This window comes from Homo sapiens, chromosome 13 (assembly GCF_000001405.40).
Source record: "Homo sapiens chromosome 13, GRCh38.p14 Primary Assembly".
Classification (NCBI taxonomy): Eukaryota; Metazoa; Chordata; class Mammalia; order Primates; family Hominidae; genus Homo; species Homo sapiens.
In genome coordinates, this window is record NC_000013.11 from 30,610,781 (window position 1) to 30,634,122 (window position 23,342).

Genomic DNA, 23,342 nt, shown 5'->3' on the forward strand with positions numbered 1-23,342 from the left:
AAACAGAGGTAGGGAAGCAAAAATAAACTTACAAAATCAGATTAGACCACCAAAAAACAGTCCCCATTTTAACTTATGTGGTGAGAACCATATATTAAAGACCACCAGTGGCTTAAAAATCTTTTTAAAAAATGAATCTGTTTTCATTATTCATTAGTTTTTATCTAATGAATAATGTATCTTAACTGATACATTTACTAAACAATTACCAGCTCCAATTAGCACTCAGTTACAATTCAATCATTAAACTGACCCTCAATTTAGCTGTCAACCTAGTCAAAACAGTTAAGTGATTTTACGGTCATCCTCAGTTGCAGAAGTATAATGTTTATGGCTGGAGTCATTTTATTTTTAACTAACATTTTTTAAAAAGATTGCTTTGTAACAATGTGTTATGAGTCCTTTGTGGTAAATACTGCTTTTTTTTTGAGACGCAGTCTCGCTTTATTGCCCAGGCTGGAGTGCAGTGGTGCGATCTTGGATCTGAGGCTCCTGCCTCAGCCTCCTGAGTAGCTGGGACTACAGGCATGCGCCAACGTGCCCAGCTAATTTTTTGTTTTTTTAGTAGAGATGGGGTTTCACCATGCTGGCCAGGCTGGTCTCGAACTCCTGACCTCGTGATCTGCCCACCTCGGCCTTCCAAAGTGCTGGGATTACAGCTATTTTAAGGACTTTTTAAAAAGTGAAGCTAAACATTTATTCATCCCTATTCCTCATCTATAGGGACTTGTGCTCTATTTTTCTTTGAAGACTGAAGTAAAAATTCACCTTTGTGAGGGTCTTCCTATAATTAAAATTAATCATTTTTTCCTCCATAGCTTCTACAAAACATTGCCTGTACAACTCTATTTAGCACTTATTTCATCCCGCCTTGTATGAAAACTATTTGTTTACAAACGTTTCTACTTCTCTTTAGGAATAAGGACTATGCATTATTCACTGTTGTATTCTCCCTGCATTTATGGCAGTCCTTTGCACATTAAATACAAGCTTTTTGGCTCTGTGCATCTCTTCATCTGGCTGTTCATCTGTACCCTTTAAAACATCCTTTATTAAAAAAACAGTAAATGTAAAAAAAAAAAAAAGCCATTGATGAAAAAGTTAATAGCTTTCTCAATAAGAAAAGAGTATCAATTATGCATACGTCTGAACTAACAAACATGAATGAAATAGGCTATTTAATACATTCTGTTTTAAAAGTAGGTTTGGTCAGCCATGTAAATTGAAAATTGGGAGCCACCAAGATAACTCATCAACAAATATGCACTATGTACTAGGCACTATATAGATGATGGTGAACCAAACAGATGTAATCCTTGCTCTTACAGATCTCACAACCTACTATGGGGCCAAAAATATATGTGTATGTGTGTGTGTTATACATATATACACACACATACATGTATATATACATATACACATACACATATATACATACGCACACATACACATATATACACACACATACATATGCTATGAGGAAAACAAACAGGTGGTGAGAAAGAATTAGAGTAGGGGTAGAGGACAGAGGGCTCCTCAAATAGGGTGGACAGCTTGACACAAGACACTCGAGCTAAGACTCCAAGGATGAGAAGACAGTTATGTAAAGAAAAGGGGACTAGCATTGTCAGCAGGTAGCTAAGGCCTTAAAGCAGACAGTCATGTGCTGCAATGCCAGCTTCAAGCGAATACAGTTACTAAAGCATATCTAACCTTCTATGTGAATGTAGTTACTAAAGCATATCCTCCAACTTTCCATTTTTCTTTTGCTATTGTTTCTACCACTTCTCCTTTTCTGTTGACAATTATTTTAAATTTCCTGGCTAAATTAAATGATGGCATGAACTCTGGGGAAAGTAAGACTACCTATGTCCAAATAATCCTAAATTCCTTCTAGTCCTTATGACTGATCAATTCACCCTGAAGTGACAACTATGTCCCAATTAGGAAAGAGTGTTTCTTTATCTGCACTTAATTTTTTGATTTGGAGGCTTCCTGATTGCTAATCAACATGTTGTGTGATTACTTCAACAAGTACTTATAGAACGTTATTTTGTCACTGGAAAAACGTTCTGCTGCTTTCTGAACTTTAGGTTGCTCTAGAGTCTAGGAAGAGTGACTGTACCTAAAGCAGTTCCTAATTACTGGACATTCTCAGATCTGCTAGAGCTACATGTCCAATTACGAGAATATACTGGAAAAAGCCCTGGATTAGAAATGAGAGGATGTAGGTTTTAGTACCAGGTCAGCCACCTTGTTAATGCAAATTTGAGTAAATTGTTACTTCTTTTAGGCCTTGTTTTTGCTGTTTTGTTTTTCTGACAGTATGGTCTCTGTGGTCCAGGCTGGAGTGCAGAGGCACAATATCAGGTCCCTGCAGTCTCTACCTCCCAGGATCAAGCCATTTTCATGCCTCATCCTCCTGAGTAGCTGGGATTACAGGCATGTGCCACCACACCCTCGAACTCCTGACCTCAAGTGATCTGCTTGCCTCAGCCTCCCAAAGTGCTGGGATTAGAGGTGTGAGCCACTGTGCCTAGCCTTACACATTGTTTTCTTACTGGTAAAGTGGGAATATCTAGAAGTTGCATGCTACATAAATTCAACCATATATTATTGGCAAAAAATTTTAAAGAAAAACATCAGCTTAAGAGTACTAATTGAGTACATGCCTTGGAATGAGCATGAGCTGGAAAGAACAAACCTGTTGTTACATCACTCATTGCTGTTTTCATATGCTGCTCATTGTAAATCTTGCTCAGTGGCATGATTTTAGTGTTTAAAGATTTATTTGTTTGTTTGTTTAGGACAAAGTCTCTACACATAATCTACTTGCTTCATATATACATACTTATGCATATTATGTATGTACATACATGCTCTCAGGGCTCACATGAAAAAACAGCCATTCAGGTGATGTGATTTATCTCATATGCTTACTTTAGAGTCAACAGGGTGTTGACTCCACTATACAATACTGGCATGGAGAACACATAAGTCAAAGTAGACAGGACCCAGCCGTACCATTGGCTAGGGCACAAATATATTCACATATGTGGAGAATGATGTACGTAGAAAGGTCTTCATTGCACAATGCTCTTTAATAAAGATCTGGAAAAAAAAAACACCTAAATGTTCAAAAGGATAGGGTAGATGAAATAATGGTACATTATAAAATGGAAGATTATGCAGCCATAAAAATAAGGAAATACCTTAAATAATAACAGAACAACTTTTAAGGTAAGTGAACAAATAAGGTACATAATCACTATGCATAGTATGTACCATTTACATAGAAAAAGGGAAGAAAAATAAAATATATATAGTAATTTATTTGTTCTTACATGTGTAAAATTTTTCTGAAAAATATACCAGAAACTGGTAGCACTGGTTGCTTCCTAGGCAGAAAATGACTGAGTATCCTTTTGTACCTTTTGAATTTTGAACCACGTGAATGAATGTGTTACCTATGAACAAAATGACAAGTTTAGATCAGCAAGACAGCAGTTTGAGATGAAATGGGATTACACCCTTAGTAGGAAAAACTTTTTAAAGCAGGTGGTACTTCTAAGAGCAAATACCTGCACATGGAATGTTGAAACTATAAGGAACTCTCCTTAAGAGATCCATCTATTCCAAACTTCTCATTTTATAGATCTGTAAACTGAGACCTTAAAAATTCAGTGACTTGCATAAGGTCACACAGCAGAAGAGATGGGATTAGATGCTAGATATTCCAATATCAAGTTTAGACTATTAAAAATTCAGTGACTTGTGTAAGGTCACACAGCAGAAGAGATGGGATTAGATGTCAGATATTCCAGTATCAACTTTAGACTATTATCACACCATCTTCTCATTTTCTGGGGGCAAAACAGAACCAAGTAAGTTTGGGCTACATTACGAGTTGTCATGTTTTTGTTTTTGTTTTTTTGAGATGGAGTCTTGCTCTGTCGCTCAGGCTGGAGTGCAGTGGTGTAATCTCAGCTCATTGCAATCTCTGACCCCCGGGGTTCAAGCAATTCTCCCTGCCTTAGCCTCCCGAGTAGCTGGGTTTACAGGCGCCTCCCACCGCGCCCGGTTAATTTTTGTATTTTTTTTTTTTTTTTTTAGTAGAGACGGGGTTTCACCATCTTGGCCAGGCTGGTCTTGAACTCCTGACCTCGTGATCCACCCACCTCAGCCTCCCAAAGTGCTGGGATTACAGGTGTGAGCCACCACGCCCGGCCGAGTTGTCATGTTTTATCTAAATTTTAGAGTCTAATGTATAAATTAACCTTAAGCCCTGAAACTACTAATTTCTTGTTTGGATCACTATACGGCTACACTTAAAAATATGCTGTGCATACCTCTATCATTGCATGTATACAATATGATAGATGCATGATATGACAGACACACAATATGATACACGTATTTTTTTCTATCCTAACACATCTGAATTTACTGAAATAACTAAAATGTCTTAAGTTACTTTTTTAAATATACACATGCATAGCACAAGCGTGTTGCCAAAAATATGAATACAGGTTTACAATTCCTTAACTAAAACCCAAGGGTTGGATGTGTTTTAGAAATAAGAATTTCATACAATTTTTAAGTGTTACAGGGTATATAAACCATTATATAACACATACCAGGGGCCAAGGGCAGCACCCCATAATCAAACATATTAATATAGTTTCAGCAAAACACATGGGATAAAGACTATATACAGCTTCTCAATAGTTCAGGTCATATTTTGCTACCAAATGAATTTTGTTGCCAAGCTTAAGAAGTTTTTGGTTTTCACCGCTTTCTGAATGTTAGATTGAGATGTGGGATTACAGACTGTACTCATAGAGTGCTTCTAGAAAGCAGTCAGTCACTTCAACTCTCATTTTTTTTTTATGAGACTAAAAAAGAAATCATAGCAAGTAGCTTTTATATCCCAGGTTTGGGCCAAAGACTTGTATTGTGGTTAAGGAATCTAACTTAGTAGAAGGTGCACGAGCTGACATCGTGAGTGGCTAAAATGAGAGAAAAAAAGAGAAAATCCTAATCATACAGAAGCACTGAACTACTGCAGCTGTTCGTTAGTTATTAATTTAATAAAAGCTTCCTCCCTTTAAATCATGTGAGTTTATAACTGGAAATAGGTCAATAAAATTTCTGTCCCACACTGCTGACAAGCGATGGACGCAATTAGCTTTAATCCCACTGGAAGGTACTGCACTCTCTCTGGGACCAGGATATGTAGAAAAAAGCATTTCAAATATATAGGAATAACCAGAAATGTATACAGTATTCTCAACTTGGGACCGTTACTCTATAATATAAACGAAAGGGGTTTTCTAGTCAATCTCTGCTGATCTCCTGTACCAAAGTTCTTCCCTTTATAAGTCTTGTACTACCTTTTACAAGAGGAAAAAGCTCTAGAGCGAAAACACAGAACACACTAAAATCCCTTCCTTTCTCTTTACAACTCAAGCCCCGCCTCCATTTTGTTTCTGTTACTAATTTTTCTTCTGAAAAAATACCAAATTTACACTGAAAGACTAAAATTCAACTTTGCAGACAACGTTTTAAAAAATACAATTCAGTTTGGTGATGTTGTTTTGCAGTCTTACAATTTTAGCTACATTTTAACTGAACCAATTGTTTTGTTCAATTTATGAGTTAATACTCAGCAAGTTTGTTTTTTACAAATAGTGTATTCCATTCTAAAAATGGAAGTAGCAGTGGTGAACAAGAAAACAACCCTCTGAGTTTTGTCTATTTCAGGAGGAAGTACTACTTTCTCCAATTTTAATCACAATTCATAAAAAAGAAAAACCTAACTAGCTAGATCTTAAATATACAAATACATTAACAATCTAGTAAAGCAACAGAAAAAGGTAAACAAACTAACCAGCCTATTTTTGTCTGGAGAAACCCCAACAAACTGCTGGATTCCTTGGCCATTTGCATTCAGAAGTACCAAAAACTAAAATCCTTTTTACTAAATAATTTCTTCTACACGAGACTTGTTTCCTCCACACCACCCTATCCAAATTGTCAGCATTATTCCAGAATATAATCATTTAGTTTGAGACCACTAAAAAACCCCGCAGTCCAAAATACCAATTGTGGTTTTTCTGTAAAGAAATGGTCAGAAACTACAAATTGTTATCCTAGGACACAGAACCAATCGACCAAAAGGACTTCTGGAATATGCTGCCCCCAAGATTTAGAATGCACAGGCAGAAATAGCATACGCGGTCACGATGTCCCTTAAGCCACATGACCTTCCTACGAAAGCAAAGGCTTAAACTTATCAAATGAGAACTCCCCCTTTCTCTGAAGTTAAAACAAGGCAGGGCAGCTGGAATTAGAGCAGCAGGGACAGATCGGCTGTTGACTAGTCAGAACGGGTCGTGGAATGCAAAGTCCCTGCGCTTTCGCTGCTCCCCTTACCGTGAGAAGATCTGGGAGGGAGGAAAGGAGGAGAAACACCCCAGAATCCTGGTAGAAAAGCCCCTGGCCTCGAAGATGGGCTCTAGGGAGACAGGGAGGGGCAGCTCCGTGTGTGATGACCCTTTGTGAACATGCACTCTGTGGCAGCTTCAGCTCCACCGAGGCTTTGGGAGAGCGGACTACGGATGCCCGGCGCGGCCCAGCTGTGAAGGCCGCGCCGGCGGAGAGGGTCCATGGCACCCCCGCCGGCTTCGGAAGCCCTTCCCTCTCCCACCTCCGCGGGTCACCCCAGGAACCAGCGGCTCCCGACCACGCTCGCGCGGACCACGGAACAGCGACGCGCAAGCAGGTCTCTTTCGTCAGCGTAATCCCTCCGCAGAAAGCCGCGCACTAGTTTTAATCACGCCCCACCCCCTGGCCGCTGGCGCCACCTCCGCCACTCGGGCGCTTTCCAGCAGCTTCCAGAAACGTCGCCTCCCCAAACCCAGCCACTCACACATGGCGGGCTCAGCAGCCACCGGCCCCGCCCCTCCTCGTCGCCGCAGTCGCAACTGCGTCTGCGGCCACAGGGCGGACAGCCACGCCTCTGCGGAGGGCGACCGGAAGTGCTCACGTCTTCACCTTCCCCGCCACGCCACCGTCCTTTCAGGCCCAGCGTGCAGCAGGAAGGAGGACTCTTTTGCCGCGGACTCAAGCCGGAAGCCGCCTTCCTAGTGGAGACGCGAGTGGGGGAGGAGCAGTCCGAGGGGAACGTGGGTTGAACGTTGCAACTAGGGTGGAGATCAAGCTGGAACAGGAGTTCCGATCGACCCGGTACCAAGAAGGGGAGTGCCCGCGGCAGGTAAGGGAGAAGAGGGAGGGGTTTCTTTCCGCTCTCGAAATTGGGAAAAGAGACAGAGCTGGGATGACCTATGGGGTAGTCGGCGCGCTGAAAGGATGGGCTGGGCTGGGACGGGGTTCAAGTGGGAAAGGTTGATGATTAAGGTATAGAGTTGGACTTACAGATCCGTTTGGGCGCAGAGAGGTGAACGCTGAAGAGAAACCAGAGTTTGTTTTCGTTTTCCAAGGAGCGTGGAGATGGGCAGGGTTAACGGACCCTGCGCCTCCTTCGGCTTCTTAGTTTGGGTGTTGAAACTCACCTCCTTTGGTCCTGTTCGTCTCTGATTCAAGACAGTTGGGTTTGGTACCTGACAGGGCTGGGTGCAGAAAGCTGACCCTGTTCCTCGGCTTCCAGGTCGGTTGTGGCCTCGCTTTTGACAGTTCACGTGCCGAGCCTACTCGCTCTCGGAGGGCGAGCTCAAATGGGTGGGTTTAAGGCCCCCTCTTCGAACAGCTGTTTCCCTGGGTTTCTCCATTTTGCACACAGGAGTGTGAATTAAGTTTAATTGAATACTTTTTGCGATTCCCAGGGCCACCTTGACACGTTCATTGTGCTATCTAACTGGGTTCATGCTGGGCTAATAATTCACATTAAGGCTTCTGGAGTATAAGTGGTTCACAGAAGTATGAAAAGGGGATGTTAGAAGAAAGATGCTGGGGGTGAAGTAGAGTTGAGGAAGACAGAACTGGAAAGCTAGGTTGGTTTCACAGTACAATGAGCTTTAGGTCATAATACTACCTTTAGGTTATATTGGGCTGTTTGGACGGAGTTTGCTGTAATCAGGCTAGAGTAAATAGAGAATTTTAAACTAAGCATTGACAGGCTCAGACTTGTAGAGGCATCATTTTGACAGTGATATGGAAGGGAAAGAGGTAGAGATTTGAGACCTTTCCAAAGAACTGTCCACAGAATTTGGTGACTTACTGTGCGAAGAGGGAAATAAAGAATAGGGAACAACTCAAGACTTTCTAGTCTGTGTGTTTGGAAGGATGGAGACGCCCACATTTAAGTGAGATATGGGAAGGAGGAGCAGATTGTTTTTGAAGGGAGGAAGAGCAGTTACTTAGGGTCAAATTAAGTTGTAAAATCCCCCCCGGGATTTTGTATGTAAGTCAAAGTGAATTGTATTTGGAAGAAGAACTGGGGAGCCCACCTCTGGTATTTTTTTTATGTCCCTCATATGGACAAATAAACCTCTGGTATTAAATGAATTTTCTTTTGGGGGATTCTATATATTCGGGATTTCAACCACCAACCTATCTGGTTTTTCCCGCTGAAATGTTGGGTGATGGAATCAGGAGAGCAGATTTGGAGACTCTTTATATTTTATAATTGAGAGAGACAAAGAGAAAACCGTTTGATTTGAAAAAGTTTTCTAGGTTCCCTCAGGTAGATGGAAATTTTCATCAAAAACAGTTTATTCAAGGTACATAGCCTACTAGTTTCCCATTTGAGAGTACCGCAGAATGATACGACGTGTACTGCTTCTCTACGCAGAATGAAGTATAAAATTAGCACCAAATAGTAACTTTAATTTGTCAGGTGCTAAACTTTTTACATGCTTTATCTCATTTAATTCTTAGAAGAAACTAATTTTACAAGTAAGTGTCTGGACCAACATCTGCAGGTACAAAGCCTGAAAAGCGTAAGTTTGACTCCTACATAGTTCTCTTTTGTAAGTAGATTATAAATAGAACCAGCCAAAGGTAATAAGTTGTCTGTGCCTAAAAAGAAAGAAAAAAGTTAGCATCAGTAGTTCTCACCAGAAGGGGTGATTTTGCTTACCAGGGGACATTTGGCAAGTCAGGAAACTTTTGGCTGTTGGATCTAGAGGGTAAAGGTCAGTGACGCTGCTAAACATCGTCAGTGCATAGAACAGCCTTCACAAACAATTATTTGGTCAAAGATATTTGTAGTGCTGCAGTTGAGAAATTTCTGTCTTATGGTTATTTCTTCAGGAATAGGAAATTAAGATTCGCCGATACTTTCTTTAAAAAGCAGTTTTATTTTTGAAATTATTCCTTGGCTTGAAAGGTTTGTGAAGTTTATATAGCCGAACCAGAATAGCGTAATTAGATTTTAAAGTGAATTGTGAGCCATCGATTCCCAGGAGATGGGTGTCATAGAATCATGGATTCTTGGATTTGGGAAAGACTTATGCCTAGAATTATTTTACAACATTTCTGCTAAGTGGTAATTCTCCTCTGCCCTAAAGGTCTCCTGTATTTGATTTTCCTATCATTGTGAACCCACAATTAAAATGCTCTTAATTATTTTTTGCTTACACTGAGCTCCGGTCTCTTGTAATTTTTACTCTGTTAAATGTGGTTCTGCACCATAGGACTGCACTCAAAACAAGCTTGCCACATATGTAATTTGTACTAGGACAGTGTTTATATTTTTGTTCAGATAACAAAATAAGTTAAATGTGGTGTAAATTAGATCATTTACAAATAATAATTTGTTAGCAGCTTTTAATAAGTAGTATTTTTCCCAACTGGTGAAGTATTAATGTTGGTAGTTGAAAACAATAGGAATGTATGGAATATATGGTTCACTGGTTCTTTTGTTCCTGTCAAATAGTGGCACAATGGATCTGGGGTTTTTCTCAGTATAATGCTGGCATATTTGTTTCAAATTGTACATAGACTCTAAAAAGTTAGGCTTTCAAATTCTGGTCAATATAGTTTGCTTTAAATAGTAGCTGCCTCTACTACAAGTTTTATTTAATTTGTTGACAAATGAGTCTGCTATGAAAACCGGTCCTGTTGCCAGTCACTACCCTCTGTTCACAAATTTGCTGGGTTTATAAATATAGGTATCATTTTCACTTCAAGATTATAATTTTAGAATATGTTTATTCTAGGACATATAGCCCTCAAAATCTGCTTACTATATACGTCTTATAAAATAGCATGGTTCTTTTTTATAGTAAATAGAATTTTTATTTAATTGTCTATTGACTTTTTTTTTCCAGGGTTCATTGAAAAAATCCTTAGTGATATTGACATGTCTCAAGTGACATAAATTAGCCAATGACTCGGAATGATGGATTCTCCGAAGATTGGAAATGGTTTGCCAGTGATTGGACCAGGGACTGATATAGGGATATCTTCACTCCACATGGTGGGGTATTTGGGAAAAGTTAGTGAACTTATTTTTTGCCTGAGTGCAAAGTTTTTTTTTTTTCTCTATTTTTGAGACTTAAATTCAATTTTGATGTTACCAGTTAACTTCTAAAAAATTGTGTCTTCCACGGAAATCTTACAGTAATGGCGAAAGATTGTTTTAATGTGTTTACCTTTCTGTGTTTTATTGATACATGAAAGTGGAAATAAAACATAGACCTTATGATTTACTGTTCTTTGAAAATATGGTACATAAATTCTCCCGGGTAATTGATGTTACTTTTTTCCTTGCAAATAAAATTGATACTATTCTTAACACATAAAATTTAATATTTAAAACTATAACATAATTCTTTTTGGAATAATAGCTGTATTTAAAGGCTTATATGCATTTCTTTTGTTTGCCATGTTTAAAATACCTTGTCAGGATACTTGTAATTGAAAATTATAATTTTTTCTGGTTACCTTTCCATTTAACTTTTAATATTTTGATATATTCTAGGAATGTCTATATTTTAATTTGCTTTATTTCTCTTTTAGAATTTTGATTCAGCTAAAGTTCCATCAGATGAGTATTGCCCTGCTTGTAGAGAGAAGGGAAAGTTAAAAGCCTTAAAGACTTACCGAATTAGTTTTCAAGAATCTATCTTTTTGTGTGAGGATCTGCAGGTAAAGTATTAATCTTATATAGTATATATAAGATTTTTCTTTTTTCTTTTGCTTTTTTATTAATTGTTTTAAAAGTTTACTCATTTTTTGTTTTTTAGACTAGATTTTTAATATGTAATCTCAGTTTGTAAGTCTGTCTGGTATACAATGTTATTTTTCCACCTACCTTTACTTGGTTGCGTAAAGATGTTCGTTTTTATTGCCATTTGATTTGCGAGAGGAGAAAATACATTTCAAGGTTTTTTTCTTTTTTTTTAACCTTTTGGAGGTCCTTGTTAGCTATTAGCATATAGTAGTTACTCTCTCATCTCTTTGGTTTATCTTTGCAACTGATGGGAAAAGTTATGAATTTCTAATGTACCTGGAAGAGTATTTTGGAAATTGGTTAGTCCAAAACCAGTATATATACTCTGAACTAAAGAGAGTATAGAATCTTGTAAATTCTAAAAGATCCTTTTAGAAGCTCTAAATCGCTTTTAGAATTATAGTAATTTGTACCGACTGGTACGGCTTTTATATAGCAGCTCATTAAATTCTGTAATACTCCACATTTTATTGTATTTGACAGTTTATGAGACTGTCTCATACACTTTTAATTCTCAGAACTTTGCAAGATTTGTATTCCTATTTCATGAATAAGAAAATAAATTGATTTCAGAGGGTTTGGGAACATAAGATCCTGATACAGTGGCAGAGCTGTGGTTGGAATACAGACTTCTAATTTCAGATCTGTTTATTCCAGCAAAAAATTAGCAGTTCATCAGAATTACCTGGAGTGCTTTTAATAAATTTCTGAGTATCACCCCCAGATGCTGATTCAATAGAGTTGGCCCAGAATTCTGTGGTTTTGTAACATTTGAGGATGAGTCTGATCATCATCAGCCAGGTTTGGAAAATACTAGACTAAATCACATGGTTGTTAATAGATACTTATGCTGGGTATAATTTGAAGTAAAGTAATCCCAGGCGTGTCTACAAATATAAATTTCTTTATGTTTATATTCAGTAATTTTTTTTATGAGTGTCACTGTTTGGCACTGTTGCAGATACAATGTTAGGATACAATAATAAAACAAAAATTTCTTGCCCTTAAGGAAGTTATGTCATAGAGTGGGAAAGACAGTGAACAAGTATGTGTTTTTCTGTCAGGTGATAAAAAGTGCTGTGGAGAAAAATAAGGCAGTAGGGACTGGAATGCCAAAGTAGGGGGAGTTTGCAATTTTAAATAGGATGGTGAGGGGAACGCTTCAATGAAAAGTGCAATTCGAGCAAAAGCCTGAAAGAGGTGAAGAGCAGTGAGCTTTCTAGGCAGGGGAAGCAAGTTCCAGGAAGGCCCTGAGAGAATGGAGGCTGCCTGTCATGTTTGTGCTACTGCAATGAAAGCAGCAGAGCGATAGAAGGTGGATCAGAAAAATAATGGGGGAGCTGGACCAAGTAGGGTCTTATAAGCCATTGTAAGCTTTCTGGCTTTTACTATGGGTGAAACCAGGAACCATGGCAGAGATGTTGGCAGAGGAGTGACATAAGTTGACTTCAGTGTTAAAAGCATTACTGTGGCTGCACTGTTGAAAATATATGTAATGGGCAAGACCTGAAGCAGGGAGATTAGTTATAGTATAATATGAATTATATTTGGTCCTTGTCTATGGTTTCCGTTACAGAGCTAAAAGTCTTGGAATTTCCTGAATGATAAGAGTGTCCTGTTATTCAGAATGAGCCTGTTTGCTAACACCGGGGTTCATACTATTGTGGTGACTTAGGATGGAGCCGTAGATAGCCTCAGATGGGGCAAGTAGCTGGAAAGACCACATGATTAGAGAATTAACGGGTTAGAACTTTTAGCCCCACGTACAGGCCTCCAGGAAAGGAGTGGAGGGGCTGGAGATCAAGCTGTATAAAAATATCAAGATTTGGATTTAATGAGTGGGTTGCTGGGGGCTGGTGCCGTGTAGGAGGTGGTATGCTTAGAGGAAGTGGAAGCTTCATACCTCTTCTGTCCCATACCTTGCCCTACTCATTTCTTCATCTATACCCTTTATAATATCCTTTAGGATAAACCAATAAACATAAGTAAGTGTTTGTTTGAGTTCTGCGAGCTGTCCTTGCAAACTAGTTATGCCCAAGAAGGGGGAGTGGGAACCTTTGTAGCCAGTCAGTCAGATGTACTGGTGGCCTGGATGTGGGATTGGCATCTGAAGTGGAGGGAGTCATGGGACTGAGCCCTCAACCTGTAGGATCTGACATGGTCTCTAGGTAGATAACATCCAAATGGAATTGGATTATAGGATACCCATTTGGTGTCCTCTGGAGAATTGCTTGGTGTGGGGAAAAAGCCCCCACACATCTGGTCACAAAAGTGTGCTGGGAGGATAGAATATGTGAAAATTGTCATAATCAAAATGGAGTCACTTGTGTTAAAAAAGAAAAAAAAATCCTGACTGGCCAGGCACAGTGGCTGACAACTGTAATCCCAACACTTTGGGAGGCTGAGGCAGGAGGATTGCTTGATCCCAGGAATTGGAGACCAGCCCATGCAACATAGTGTGGCCTTGTCTCTACAAAAAAAAAAATTTAAATTAGCTGGGCATGGTGGTGTGAGTCTGTAGCCCCAGCTACCCGGGAGGGGGACTACGGGTGCACGGCACCATGCCCAGGAGGTCCAGGCTGCAGTGAGCTGTGATTGTGCCACTGCATTCCAGTCAGGATGACAGAGTGTGAGACCCTGTCTCTATTAAAAGAAAAAAAAAAGACAAATAGATCCAGGAAAGGCTATGAAGAGAGAGCTTTCATGCATAAATACCAAAATATCTCAAAAGACTCTGCAAAAACCACACCCTTGCACAAAGGCCATCATGAAATACTTCTGAAATACACAGAAAATACATCATGAAATAAATACACAGAAAATACTTCTGCAAGGACATCTGCCCAGCAACTGCCTGGTCCATCTGTGGACGGGTGTCATCCTTGTTATTGATCCTTGTAGCCAAGGGTAATTATCTCAAAACAAGTATGTGATCCTCCTTATTTTCCTTTAAAAACCTTTTGTCTTCCCTTACCTCCCTGAACACACACAGTTTACTATGGCATGTGTATTCCCATTGGAATACTTTATTCCTGAATAAATGTCACTTTCTTTTTAGAAGCTTCTCTTTTCTTTTTATTTAGATTGATAAGTAGAAAGGAAAAAAAGCTTTTTTCCCTTTGGACTAGTTGAAGGCAGTTGCAGTATTCTGGGGGAGAGGGTGGTGGCAGAGGTGTTGAGGCATGGTTGGAGTTTATTTATACTTTGAAGGTAAAGCCAACAGGATTTGCTGAAAGATTGGGATATGGGGTTGGAAAGAGGAATCAAGGATAGTTCCAAGATTTTTGGCTTGAAAAATTAGAAGAATGGAATCGTGAATTACTGAGCTGGGAAGACTTGGAAGAGCAAGGTTTTGGGGAGAAGATCAGGACTGTAAGAATAGAGAAGTCCTTGTCCCCAGGAGTTAGGTTTTTGGCTATTAAAGTTAGATGTACTACATAGATTTTTAGTTGGTTTTTTGTTTTTTGTTTTTTTTTTTTTTTTTTTTGAGACGGAGTCTCGCTCTGTCACGAGGCTGGAGTGCAGTGGTGCGATCTCGGCTCACCGCAACCTCCGACTCCCTGGTTCAAGGGATTCTCCTGCCTCAGCCTCCTCAGTAGGTGAGATTACAGGCATGTGCCACCCAGCCCAGCTAATTTTTGTATTTTTAGTAGAGACGGGGTTTCACTATGGCCAGGATGGGCTTGATTTCCTGACCTCAGGTGATCCACCCACCTCGGCCTCCCAAAATGCTGGGGTTACAGGTGTGAGCCACCACGCCCAGCCCGGAGTTTTGGTTTTTGAAGCATTCTTTTTCAAGTGATAAAGCAAAAAATATATAATCAAGAATTTTAAGTATATACTTTGGAAATGTTAAAAAGGAACATGAGTAATTTATTATTATTTTTTTAATTTCTAGTCAGCAATGAGAGCCCAGTGTACTTTATGAAGTAGATTGGTTTACACCAGGAGTGAGCAGACATTTTGTATGATGCACAAACAAGGAATGATTTTTTTGTTTTTTAAATGGTTAGGAAAATATCAAAATAAAAAATGCCAGAAAAAATCAAAAGAAGGGCCAGGTGCAGTGTTTCACACCTGTAATCCCAGCACTTTGGGAGGCCAAGGTGGGTGGATTCTCTTGAGGTCAGGAGTTCGAGACCAGCCTGGCCAACATGGTGAAAACCTGTCTCTACTAAAAATACAAAATAGCCGGGTGTGGTGGCATATGCCTGTAATCCCAGCTACTTGGGAGGCTGAGGCAGGAGAGTCGCTTGAAGCCAGTGGCAGAAGTTGCAGTGAGCCAAGATTTGAGCCACTGCACTCCAGCCTGGGCGACAGAGGAGACTCTATCTCAAAATAAATAAATAAATAAATAAATAAATAAATAAATCAAAAGAAGAATACCCTTTCATAATATGTGAAAATTAAATGAAATTCAAATTTCAGTGTTCATAAATAAAGTTTTACCGGAACATAGCCATGCTCAATCATTTATGTATTGTTCATGGCTTCTTTTGCATACAACAACAGAGTTGGGTAGTTGTGACAGACTATGTAGCTCATAAAATCTAAATATTTATTATCTAGCCCTTTATCAGTAAACTTTGCTGATCCCTGTATAAGTCCTCTGAATCAAATTATTTCCAAAGAGTTCCGTTATAAAATTTGGAGTTTACTCTGCTGTAAATTGCAAAGAACCATTTGGAAAACCTCTTTTAGTCAGGTATTTACATTAAAATGTTCCTTGATTTGTAAACACTAATATTCAAGACTGGTCCAAAATTATACCAAATTGAAACTCTCAAGTGTTTTTAAACAGTAGGAAGTTTTAACTTTTTTTTTTTCGTGGAGTAGTCTATCATTCAGCGTTTACTTTGGAACATTTAATTAGTCTTTTTTAAAAACCCATGAAATTTATAATAAAAATTTTAAATCATTAATGTTGAGTAATCAAAGAAAACTTTTTTTGTTTTCTCCATTTGTAAAATGAGTACATTATTATTATAATTTGTCTTTGGCCATACCTTGTTGATAATTACTTATACAAGTATAAGAAGACATGGTATGTTTTCCTTTTTCCTATTTCACAAGAATAAGTACAGGAATTTACTTAAGCTGCTCCAAAACTCAGTGAAAGAGACAGGATTAGGTTTTTTTCAGCATTGGATTTTAAATGATACTAGATGGTTGCGCTGGGCTAAAATACTAATGCTTTGTGTATATTTTTATGACTTTTTTGAAGACAGCTTAAAAGCTTTATTCTAGTTATAAAAATGATACATGTTCACTGTAAATAGAAACAAGTCAGGTATACAGAGATACAAATATTTAGAACATGTGGAAAGAGGCAACAAAATTTTATAAAAAGAAAAAAGATAAAAATCTGAAATCATTAATTTATAAGGGAAAAATCAGGGCAAGGACAAATTATATTACAGATTGGCCTATGGTGGGAGCACAGATTATATAGAGAAAAGTCAGTGAAGACACTTGCGAAGAGTGTGGGTGGAAATCACTAAGTTTTGCAGTCCCGGGGCCTCTTATGGTTTATTACTGTTTTGTTCTTTTTTTTTTTTTAATATGCATTCCTTTGGAACCAAGGGTTTATTATGTTTTGAATAAAGTAGAGGTGTAAGTAGGATGCATATACCATGATCTTGACTACTTGAGATTCACAAAGGGTTTTCGTCTCAGGATTTTTTTTTCTCTTAAAAAAATTTGTATTAATTTTTAAATTGTAAAAAAATTCATCAACTTAACCATTTTTATGTATAGAGTTCAGGAGTATTAGGTATATTCACTTGTGCAGCAGATCTCTAGAACTTTTTTCATCTTGCAAAACTGAAACTCTGTACCCATTAAACAACCACTTCCCATTTTCCTCTCCCCCAGCTTCTGGCAACCATTCTAGTTTCTGTTTCTTTTCTTTTTTTTTCTTTTGAGATGGAGTCTCTGTCGCCCAGGCTGGAGTGTAGTGGCATGATCTCGGCTCGCTGCAACTTCTGCCTGCGGGTTCAAGCAGTTCTCCTCCCTCAGCCTCCTGAGTAGCTGGGACTACAGGGGTGCACCACCATGCCTGGCTAATTTTTTTTTTTTTTTTTTTTTTTGTATTTTTAGTAGAGACGGGGGTTTCACCATGTTGGCCAGGCTGGTCTCGAACTCCTGACCTCAGGTGTTCTGCCTGCCTCAGCCTCCCAAAGTGCTGGGATTACAGGCTTGAGCCACTGTACCCGGCCTCTAGTTTATGTTTCTATGAATCAGACTCAGTACCTCATATAAACGGAATCATACAGTATTTGCCTTTTTTGTGACTGGCTTATTTCACTTGGCATAATGGCCTCAAGATTCATCCATGTTGTAGCATGGATGAATATACAGTTAGGAGTTCCTTTTCTTTTTTAAGTCTTAATCTCCAGTTTATTTCTGTTTATTTATTTATTTTATTATACTTTAAGTTCTGGGATACATGTGCAGAACGTGCAGGCTTGTTACATAGGTATACACGTGCCATGGTGGTTTGTTGCACCTGTCAGCCTGTCATCTACGTTAGGTATTTCTCCTAATGCTATCCCTCCCCTAGCCCCCTACCCGCCGACAGGCCCCGGTGTGTGATGTTCCCCTCTCTGTGTCCGTGTGTTCTCATTGTTCAGCTCCCACTTACGAGTGAGAACATGCGGTGTTTGGTTTTCTGTTCCTGTGTTAGTTTGCTGAGAATGATGGTTTCCAGCTTCATCCATGTCTCTGCAAAGGACATGAGGAGTTTCTTACTTTTAAGGTTGAGTAATATTCCACATTATGTGTATGCCACATTTTCTTTATCCATTCACCTATCTGCAGATGTTTGAGTTGCTTTCACTTTTTGGGAATTGTGAATAATGCTGCAGTGAATGTGGGTGTGCAGGTACCTTTTCAAGATTCTGCTTTTGAGTTTTTTTTGGATACGTACCTTTTTATGATGCTTTAAATACATATATGCTATTTTTAAAGGATTCTCAGTTTTCTGACATATGATAGGACTTAGGAAGTAATCTCAAAGCATCATGTTGACAGGTTGTTAGTTGATGGTGACTGCAGCTAGTTGGAAAGTCAGAAGAATCTAGAACTTGTCCATTTATACTAAAGAATTTCATAGTAAGTGCAGTATTATGAGTGTAATGTTCAATTGGTAGAAGAGGCTATCTGAGGGGATTTAGTGCATTTCAGTTATCTGTTGGTGTGAAACGAATCACCTTGAAACTTAGTCGCTCAAAAATTTTAATGGTGGCTGGGCATGGTGGCTCACATCTGGAACTCCAGCACTTTGGGAGGCCGAGGCAGGCAGATTGCTTGAACCCAGGAGTTTGAGAGCAGCCTGGGCAACGTGGTGAAACCTTGTCTCTACAGAAAATACCGTGGCAGGCGCCTTTAGCACCAGCTACTTGGGAGGCTAAGGTTGTAGGATCTCTTGATCCCAGGAGGCAGAGGTTGCAGTGAGCTGGGATCGTGCCACTATACTCCAGCCTGGATAACAGAGCCAGACCCTGTCTCAAAAAAAAATTTTAATGGCTCCATTTATTATTTCACATGATTATGTGAGTTGACTAGGGAATTCTTACACATCACACCATGTCAGCTGGGACAGCTGAAATGTCCACATGGCTGGCAGTTGGTACTAGCTGCTAGCTGGAAGTTGAGTTCAAATAGTCAGCCAGGGGTCTCAGTTATTTTCCATGAGGTTCTCTCCATGAGGCCAGCTGGGCTCTTCACAGTGTGATAGCTGGGACTAAGAAGGAGTGTTCCAGAAGAAGGGCTTGTCCTCTTGAGCCAGTGCTTATCAGGCCTCTATGTATATCATGTGTGCTAATGTTCCATCAAAGCTAGTCACAGGGCCAAGCCAACTCTGTACAGTGTAGGGACTGGCTGCAGGAGGGCATGAATTACCAGGAGGTGTAGTTCTCTAGTTCATAGGGAGGGCCATCAAGATAGTAGTCTACCATACTTGTGTAAAAGAAGGCATTAATTAACTATTATTATTATTATTATTATTATTTTAGAGACAGGGTCTTGCTCTGTTGCCCAGGCTGGAGCAGTAGAGTGGGGCAATCATAGCTCATTGCAGCCTCCAACTCCTGGGCTTAAGCAATCCTCCCATCTCAGCCTCCCAAGTAGCTGGGAATACGGGAGTGTACTGCCATGCCCACCTGAAAAAGAAGGCATATTTTAAAAGCAGACCTTTAGTGTAGAGGGTTCTTGAATTTGTTATTTAAAATATTCTGGTAGTTTTTAAACTTAGGAAAGACCCACTGATTCTTTTAGTGATATGTTTACATTGTTGTTATTTGGCATAAATTGTGTTAATGCACAGTAAGATTTCATGAAGTCATTAAAATTCAGCCACTTGGACTCTAAACCCAATAAAGATGTAAAACAGCAGTGCTATGAGATGCATATTCAGTTTCAAAATATAGGAAACACAGAAATTACTCTGTGCACTTTTAATTTGAAAATACTTTTAAAATGTGTAGTATAATGTAGTGTCTGTCCCAAAAGAGTAACATTCATTATAGTGTTTCTTTACGTTGTTGAAAATTTTAAATTCACTTAACATTAGATTTTTATTAAAGCAAAAATATGTTTTCCTTATTAGCTTACCCTTTTGTAACTCAGATTAAACCCTTGATTGTTCAAATTAACCTGAAAAAAATTATTCTTTTGGAGGCCAAACTTTTGATTAAGTAGTTGTTTGTCTCTAATTTTTTCAAATTTATGTGTATAAATATAACCTGTCATCAAATCAATGCTAACATTCTATACATGTTTTTCATGATATGAAAACTATAAAACATGAAGTTATTTGAATTTGTGTAGTTTTTATCATTTTATTTTTACTTTCCAGTGCATCTATCCTTTGGGCTCTAAATCACTTAATAACCTAATTTCTCCTGATTTGGAAGAATGTCACACTCCACATAAGCCTCAGAAAAGGAAGAGCTTAGAAAGCAGCTATAAGGATTCACTTCTTTTAGCAAATTCCAAAAAGACTAGAAATTATATTGCTATTGACGGTGGAAAAGTTTTGAACAGCAAACATAATGGAGAAGTATATGACGAAACCTCGTCAAACTTACCTGATAGTAGTGGTCAACAGAATCCAATTAGGACAGCTGATTCCTTGGAGCGGAATGAGATTTTGGAAGCTGATACTGTTGACATGGCTACTACAAAAGATCCTGCTACAGTTGATGTCTCTGGAACTGGCAGACCTTCCCCTCAAAATGAAGGATGTACATCTAAACTGGAAATGCCACTGGAGAGCAAATGTACATCATTTCCCCAGGCTTTATGTGTCCAGTGGAAAAATGCTTATGCTCTCTGTTGGTTAGACTGTATCCTGTCAGCTTTGGTGCACTCGGAAGAGTTAAAGAACACCGTGACTGGACTGTGCTCGAAGGAGGAATCTATATTCTGGCGGTTGCTTACAAAATATAATCAAGCAAATACACTTCTATATACCAGTCAATTGAGTGGTGTTAAAGGTTGGTACTAATATTTTATTTTTATTTACTTATTTATTCATCTGGAGTCAGGGTCTCATTCTGTCACCCAGGCTGGAGTGCAGTGGCATGATCATGTCTCCTTGCAGCCTTGACTTCCCTGGCTCAGGTGGGCCTCCCACCTCAGTCTCCCAAGTAGCTGGAACTACAGTCGTGCACCACCATAGCCAGCTAAGATAGTGAGATGGTGGCCCCACTGTCTTGCCCAGGCTGGACTCGATTTCCTGGGTGCAAGCACCCTTCCCGCCTCAGCCTCCCAAAGTGCTGGGATTACAGGCATGAGTCACCATTCCAGCCTACTTGTCTTTAATTCTTAAAAATATTAATGTTGAGTTTTGTCTCCCAGCATGTGGGAAAGATGTCATCCATTGCTTCTGTTTCCTGGAGGCCTGGGAGCAAGGAGCCCAGGAACAGTATCACGAAGCTTGAGATAATACCAGTTACATTATCCTGACTGCCCAAAAGGCAGTTTTTTTGTTTTTTTTTTTTATACTTTAAGTTCTGGGGTACATGTGCAGAACGTGCAGTTTTGTTACATAGGTATACGTGTGCCATGGTGGTTTGTTGCACCCATCAACCCGTCACCTATATTAGGTATTTCTCCTAATGCTGTCCTTCCCCAACCCCTCCATTCCCCATCAGGCCCCAGTGTGTGATGTTCCCCTCCCTGTGTCCATGTGTTCTCATTGTTCAACTGTCACTTATGAGTGAGAATATATGGTGTTTGGTTTTTTGTTCTTGTGTTAGTTTGCTGAGAATGATGGTTTCCAGCTTTATCCATGTCCCTGCAAAGGACATGAACTCATCCTTTTTTATGGCTGCATAGTATTCTATGGTGTATATGTGCCACATTTTCTTTATCCAGTCTATCATTGATGGGCATTTGGGTTGGTTCCAAGTCTTTGCTATTGTGATTTTTTTTTTTTTTTTTTTTTTTTTAAGACAGAGCCTCACTCTGTTGCCCAGGCTGGAGTGCGATGGCATGATCTCAGCTCACTGCAACCTCCGCCTCTCAGGTTCAAGCAATTCTTCTGCCTCAGCCTCCCAAGTAGCTGGGACTACAGGCGCCCACCACCAGGCCCAGCTAATTTTTGTATTTTTAGTAGAGACAGGGTTTCACCATGTTGGTCAGGCTGGTCTTGAACTCCAGACCTCATGATCTGCCTGCCTTGGCCTCCCAAAGTGCTGAAATTACAGGTGTGAGCCACCATACCTGGCCTAGGCAGTCTTTTTCAAAACTCTAAGACTGTGCTTGTGTCTCAGGGTGTCAGGATAATAGTGGTTAGTTTTAAGTGTTTAAACTACTGAAAAGCAGAATGAAGAAGTGAGTAAAAATCACCCATAATCACACAACCTCCTAAGATCTCTTGGCACAATAAGGGATATGTTTTTCATTTTATTCTCTGTAAAATAGGATACTTATGAACCCACCTCCCAACACAGGAAGAATTAAAACATTCCCAATAACTTACATTTACCTATGCGTTTCCTCCCATCCCATTCTCTACCTCCCCCCCATAAGTAATCATTATCTGAAATGTGTTTCATCATTCCATCTTTTCTTAGTTTTTCTTACATGTGTTTATCTAAACAGTATACAGTAGTCTCCCCTTATTGTAGTTGTACTTTTCTTGGTTTCATTTAACCCGAGGTCTGAAAGTAGATGAGTATAGTACAGTAATATATTTTGAGAGAGAGGGAGACCACATTCACATAACTTTCATTACAGCATATTGTTATAATTGTTGTATTTTATTATTAGTTTTAATCTTACTATGCCTAATTATAAAACTTGATCATAGGTATGTAGTTATAGGAAAAAGCATAATATATAAAATGTTTAGTTACTATCCAAGGTTTTAGGCATCCACTGGGGTCTTGGAAGGTATCCCTCTCAGATAATGGGGGATGGATGGTACTGAACCCTGTATATACAATGTTTTTCCCTATACATACATAATTATGATCAAGTTTAATTAAGAGTAAATTAAATGTGGGCCAGGTGCAGTGGCTCACATCTGTAATCCCAGCACTTTAGGAAGCTGAAGCGGGCAGATCTCATGAGGTCAAGAGTTCGAGACCAGCCTGGCCAACATGGTGAAACCCCATCTCTACTAAAAAATACAAAAATTGGCTGGCTATGGTGGCACACGCCTGTAGTCACAGCTACTCTGGGAGGTTGAGGCAGGAGAATTGCTTGAACCCAGGAGGTGGAAGTTGAACAATCACTTGAACCTGGGATCACGCCACTGCACTCCAACCTGCCTGGGTGATAGAATGAGACTCTGTCTCAAAAAAAAAAAAAAAAAAAAAAAAGTAAAGTAAATGTGGCTCAACATGTTGCTGTCAGTTGGAACATTTGTTTCTGATCGTGTCTTCCACCCACAAATTGAATGCTTTTTCCATCTTAACACTTATCAGGCACTGTGGCCATAACTTGAGCAGTTGAGATGCAACAGCAAAATTAGCACAAATTTCTTTTTCTTTCTTCGCAGTTTCATGGATAAGAGATTTGTTCTTAGATCTCAGCAACCTCAGCATATGATTTTTTTCTTTAAGTTGAGAACTTTGACCTTTTTACTTAGAGAAGCATTTTACAGCTTCTCTTTGGCATATCTGAATTGCCAGCA

At 39.3% G+C, this 23,342-nt stretch overlaps 2 protein-coding genes across 14 annotated transcripts in view, besides 5 other annotated features; one reads left to right on the forward strand and one right to left on the reverse strand.

Annotated features, from left to right (window-relative positions):
• The window catches only part of HMGB1 (high mobility group box 1), a 160,894-nt gene extending 154,077 nt beyond the window's left edge, over nt 1-6,817 (reverse strand). Inside the window, exon 1 of one of the 2 annotated variants that reach the window (NM_001370340.1) lies at nt 6,436-6,807. The gene's annotated coding sequence lies outside the window, so the exon portion shown is untranslated. 2 annotated transcript variants of the gene reach the window in all.
• Nucleotides 6,538-6,607: an enhancer, noted in NCBI's record as "active region_7538". NCBI's record gives its function as "activates an Ori minimal core promoter by ATAC-STARR-seq in GM12878 lymphoblastoid cells {active_cell/tissue: GM12878}" and the evidence as "EXISTENCE:reporter gene assay evidence [ECO:0000049][PMID:35858748]".
• Nucleotides 6,628-6,767: an enhancer, noted in NCBI's record as "active region_7539". NCBI's record gives its function as "activates an Ori minimal core promoter by ATAC-STARR-seq in GM12878 lymphoblastoid cells {active_cell/tissue: GM12878}" and the evidence as "EXISTENCE:reporter gene assay evidence [ECO:0000049][PMID:35858748]".
• Nucleotides 6,818-7,147: an enhancer, noted in NCBI's record as "active region_7540". NCBI's record gives its function as "activates an Ori minimal core promoter by ATAC-STARR-seq in GM12878 lymphoblastoid cells {active_cell/tissue: GM12878}" and the evidence as "EXISTENCE:reporter gene assay evidence [ECO:0000049][PMID:35858748]".
• Nucleotides 7,140-23,342, forward strand: part of USPL1 (ubiquitin specific peptidase like 1) — a 42,847-nt gene continuing 26,644 nt past the window's right edge. For 3 of the 12 annotated variants that reach the window (NM_001321532.2, XM_047430032.1, XM_017020315.2), the window contains exons 1-3: nt 7,140-7,276; nt 10,984-11,112; nt 20,055-20,694. In NM_001321532.2, coding sequence (NP_001308461.1) covers nt 20,370-20,694 — 325 coding nt within the window. In that variant the 5' untranslated portion in view covers nt 7,140-7,276; nt 10,984-11,112; nt 20,055-20,369. Of the gene's footprint in view, nt 8,961-10,292; nt 10,460-10,983; nt 11,113-20,054; nt 20,695-23,342 lie in introns of all 12 variants that reach the window. The other 9 variants (NM_005800.5, XM_017020314.3, XM_047430028.1 and 6 more) reach the window with 8 other exon arrangements.
• Nucleotides 7,168-7,217: an enhancer, noted in NCBI's record as "active region_7541". NCBI's record gives its function as "activates an Ori minimal core promoter by ATAC-STARR-seq in GM12878 lymphoblastoid cells {active_cell/tissue: GM12878}" and the evidence as "EXISTENCE:reporter gene assay evidence [ECO:0000049][PMID:35858748]".
• Nucleotides 17,049-17,188: an enhancer, noted in NCBI's record as "active region_7542". NCBI's record gives its function as "activates an Ori minimal core promoter by ATAC-STARR-seq in GM12878 lymphoblastoid cells {active_cell/tissue: GM12878}" and the evidence as "EXISTENCE:reporter gene assay evidence [ECO:0000049][PMID:35858748]".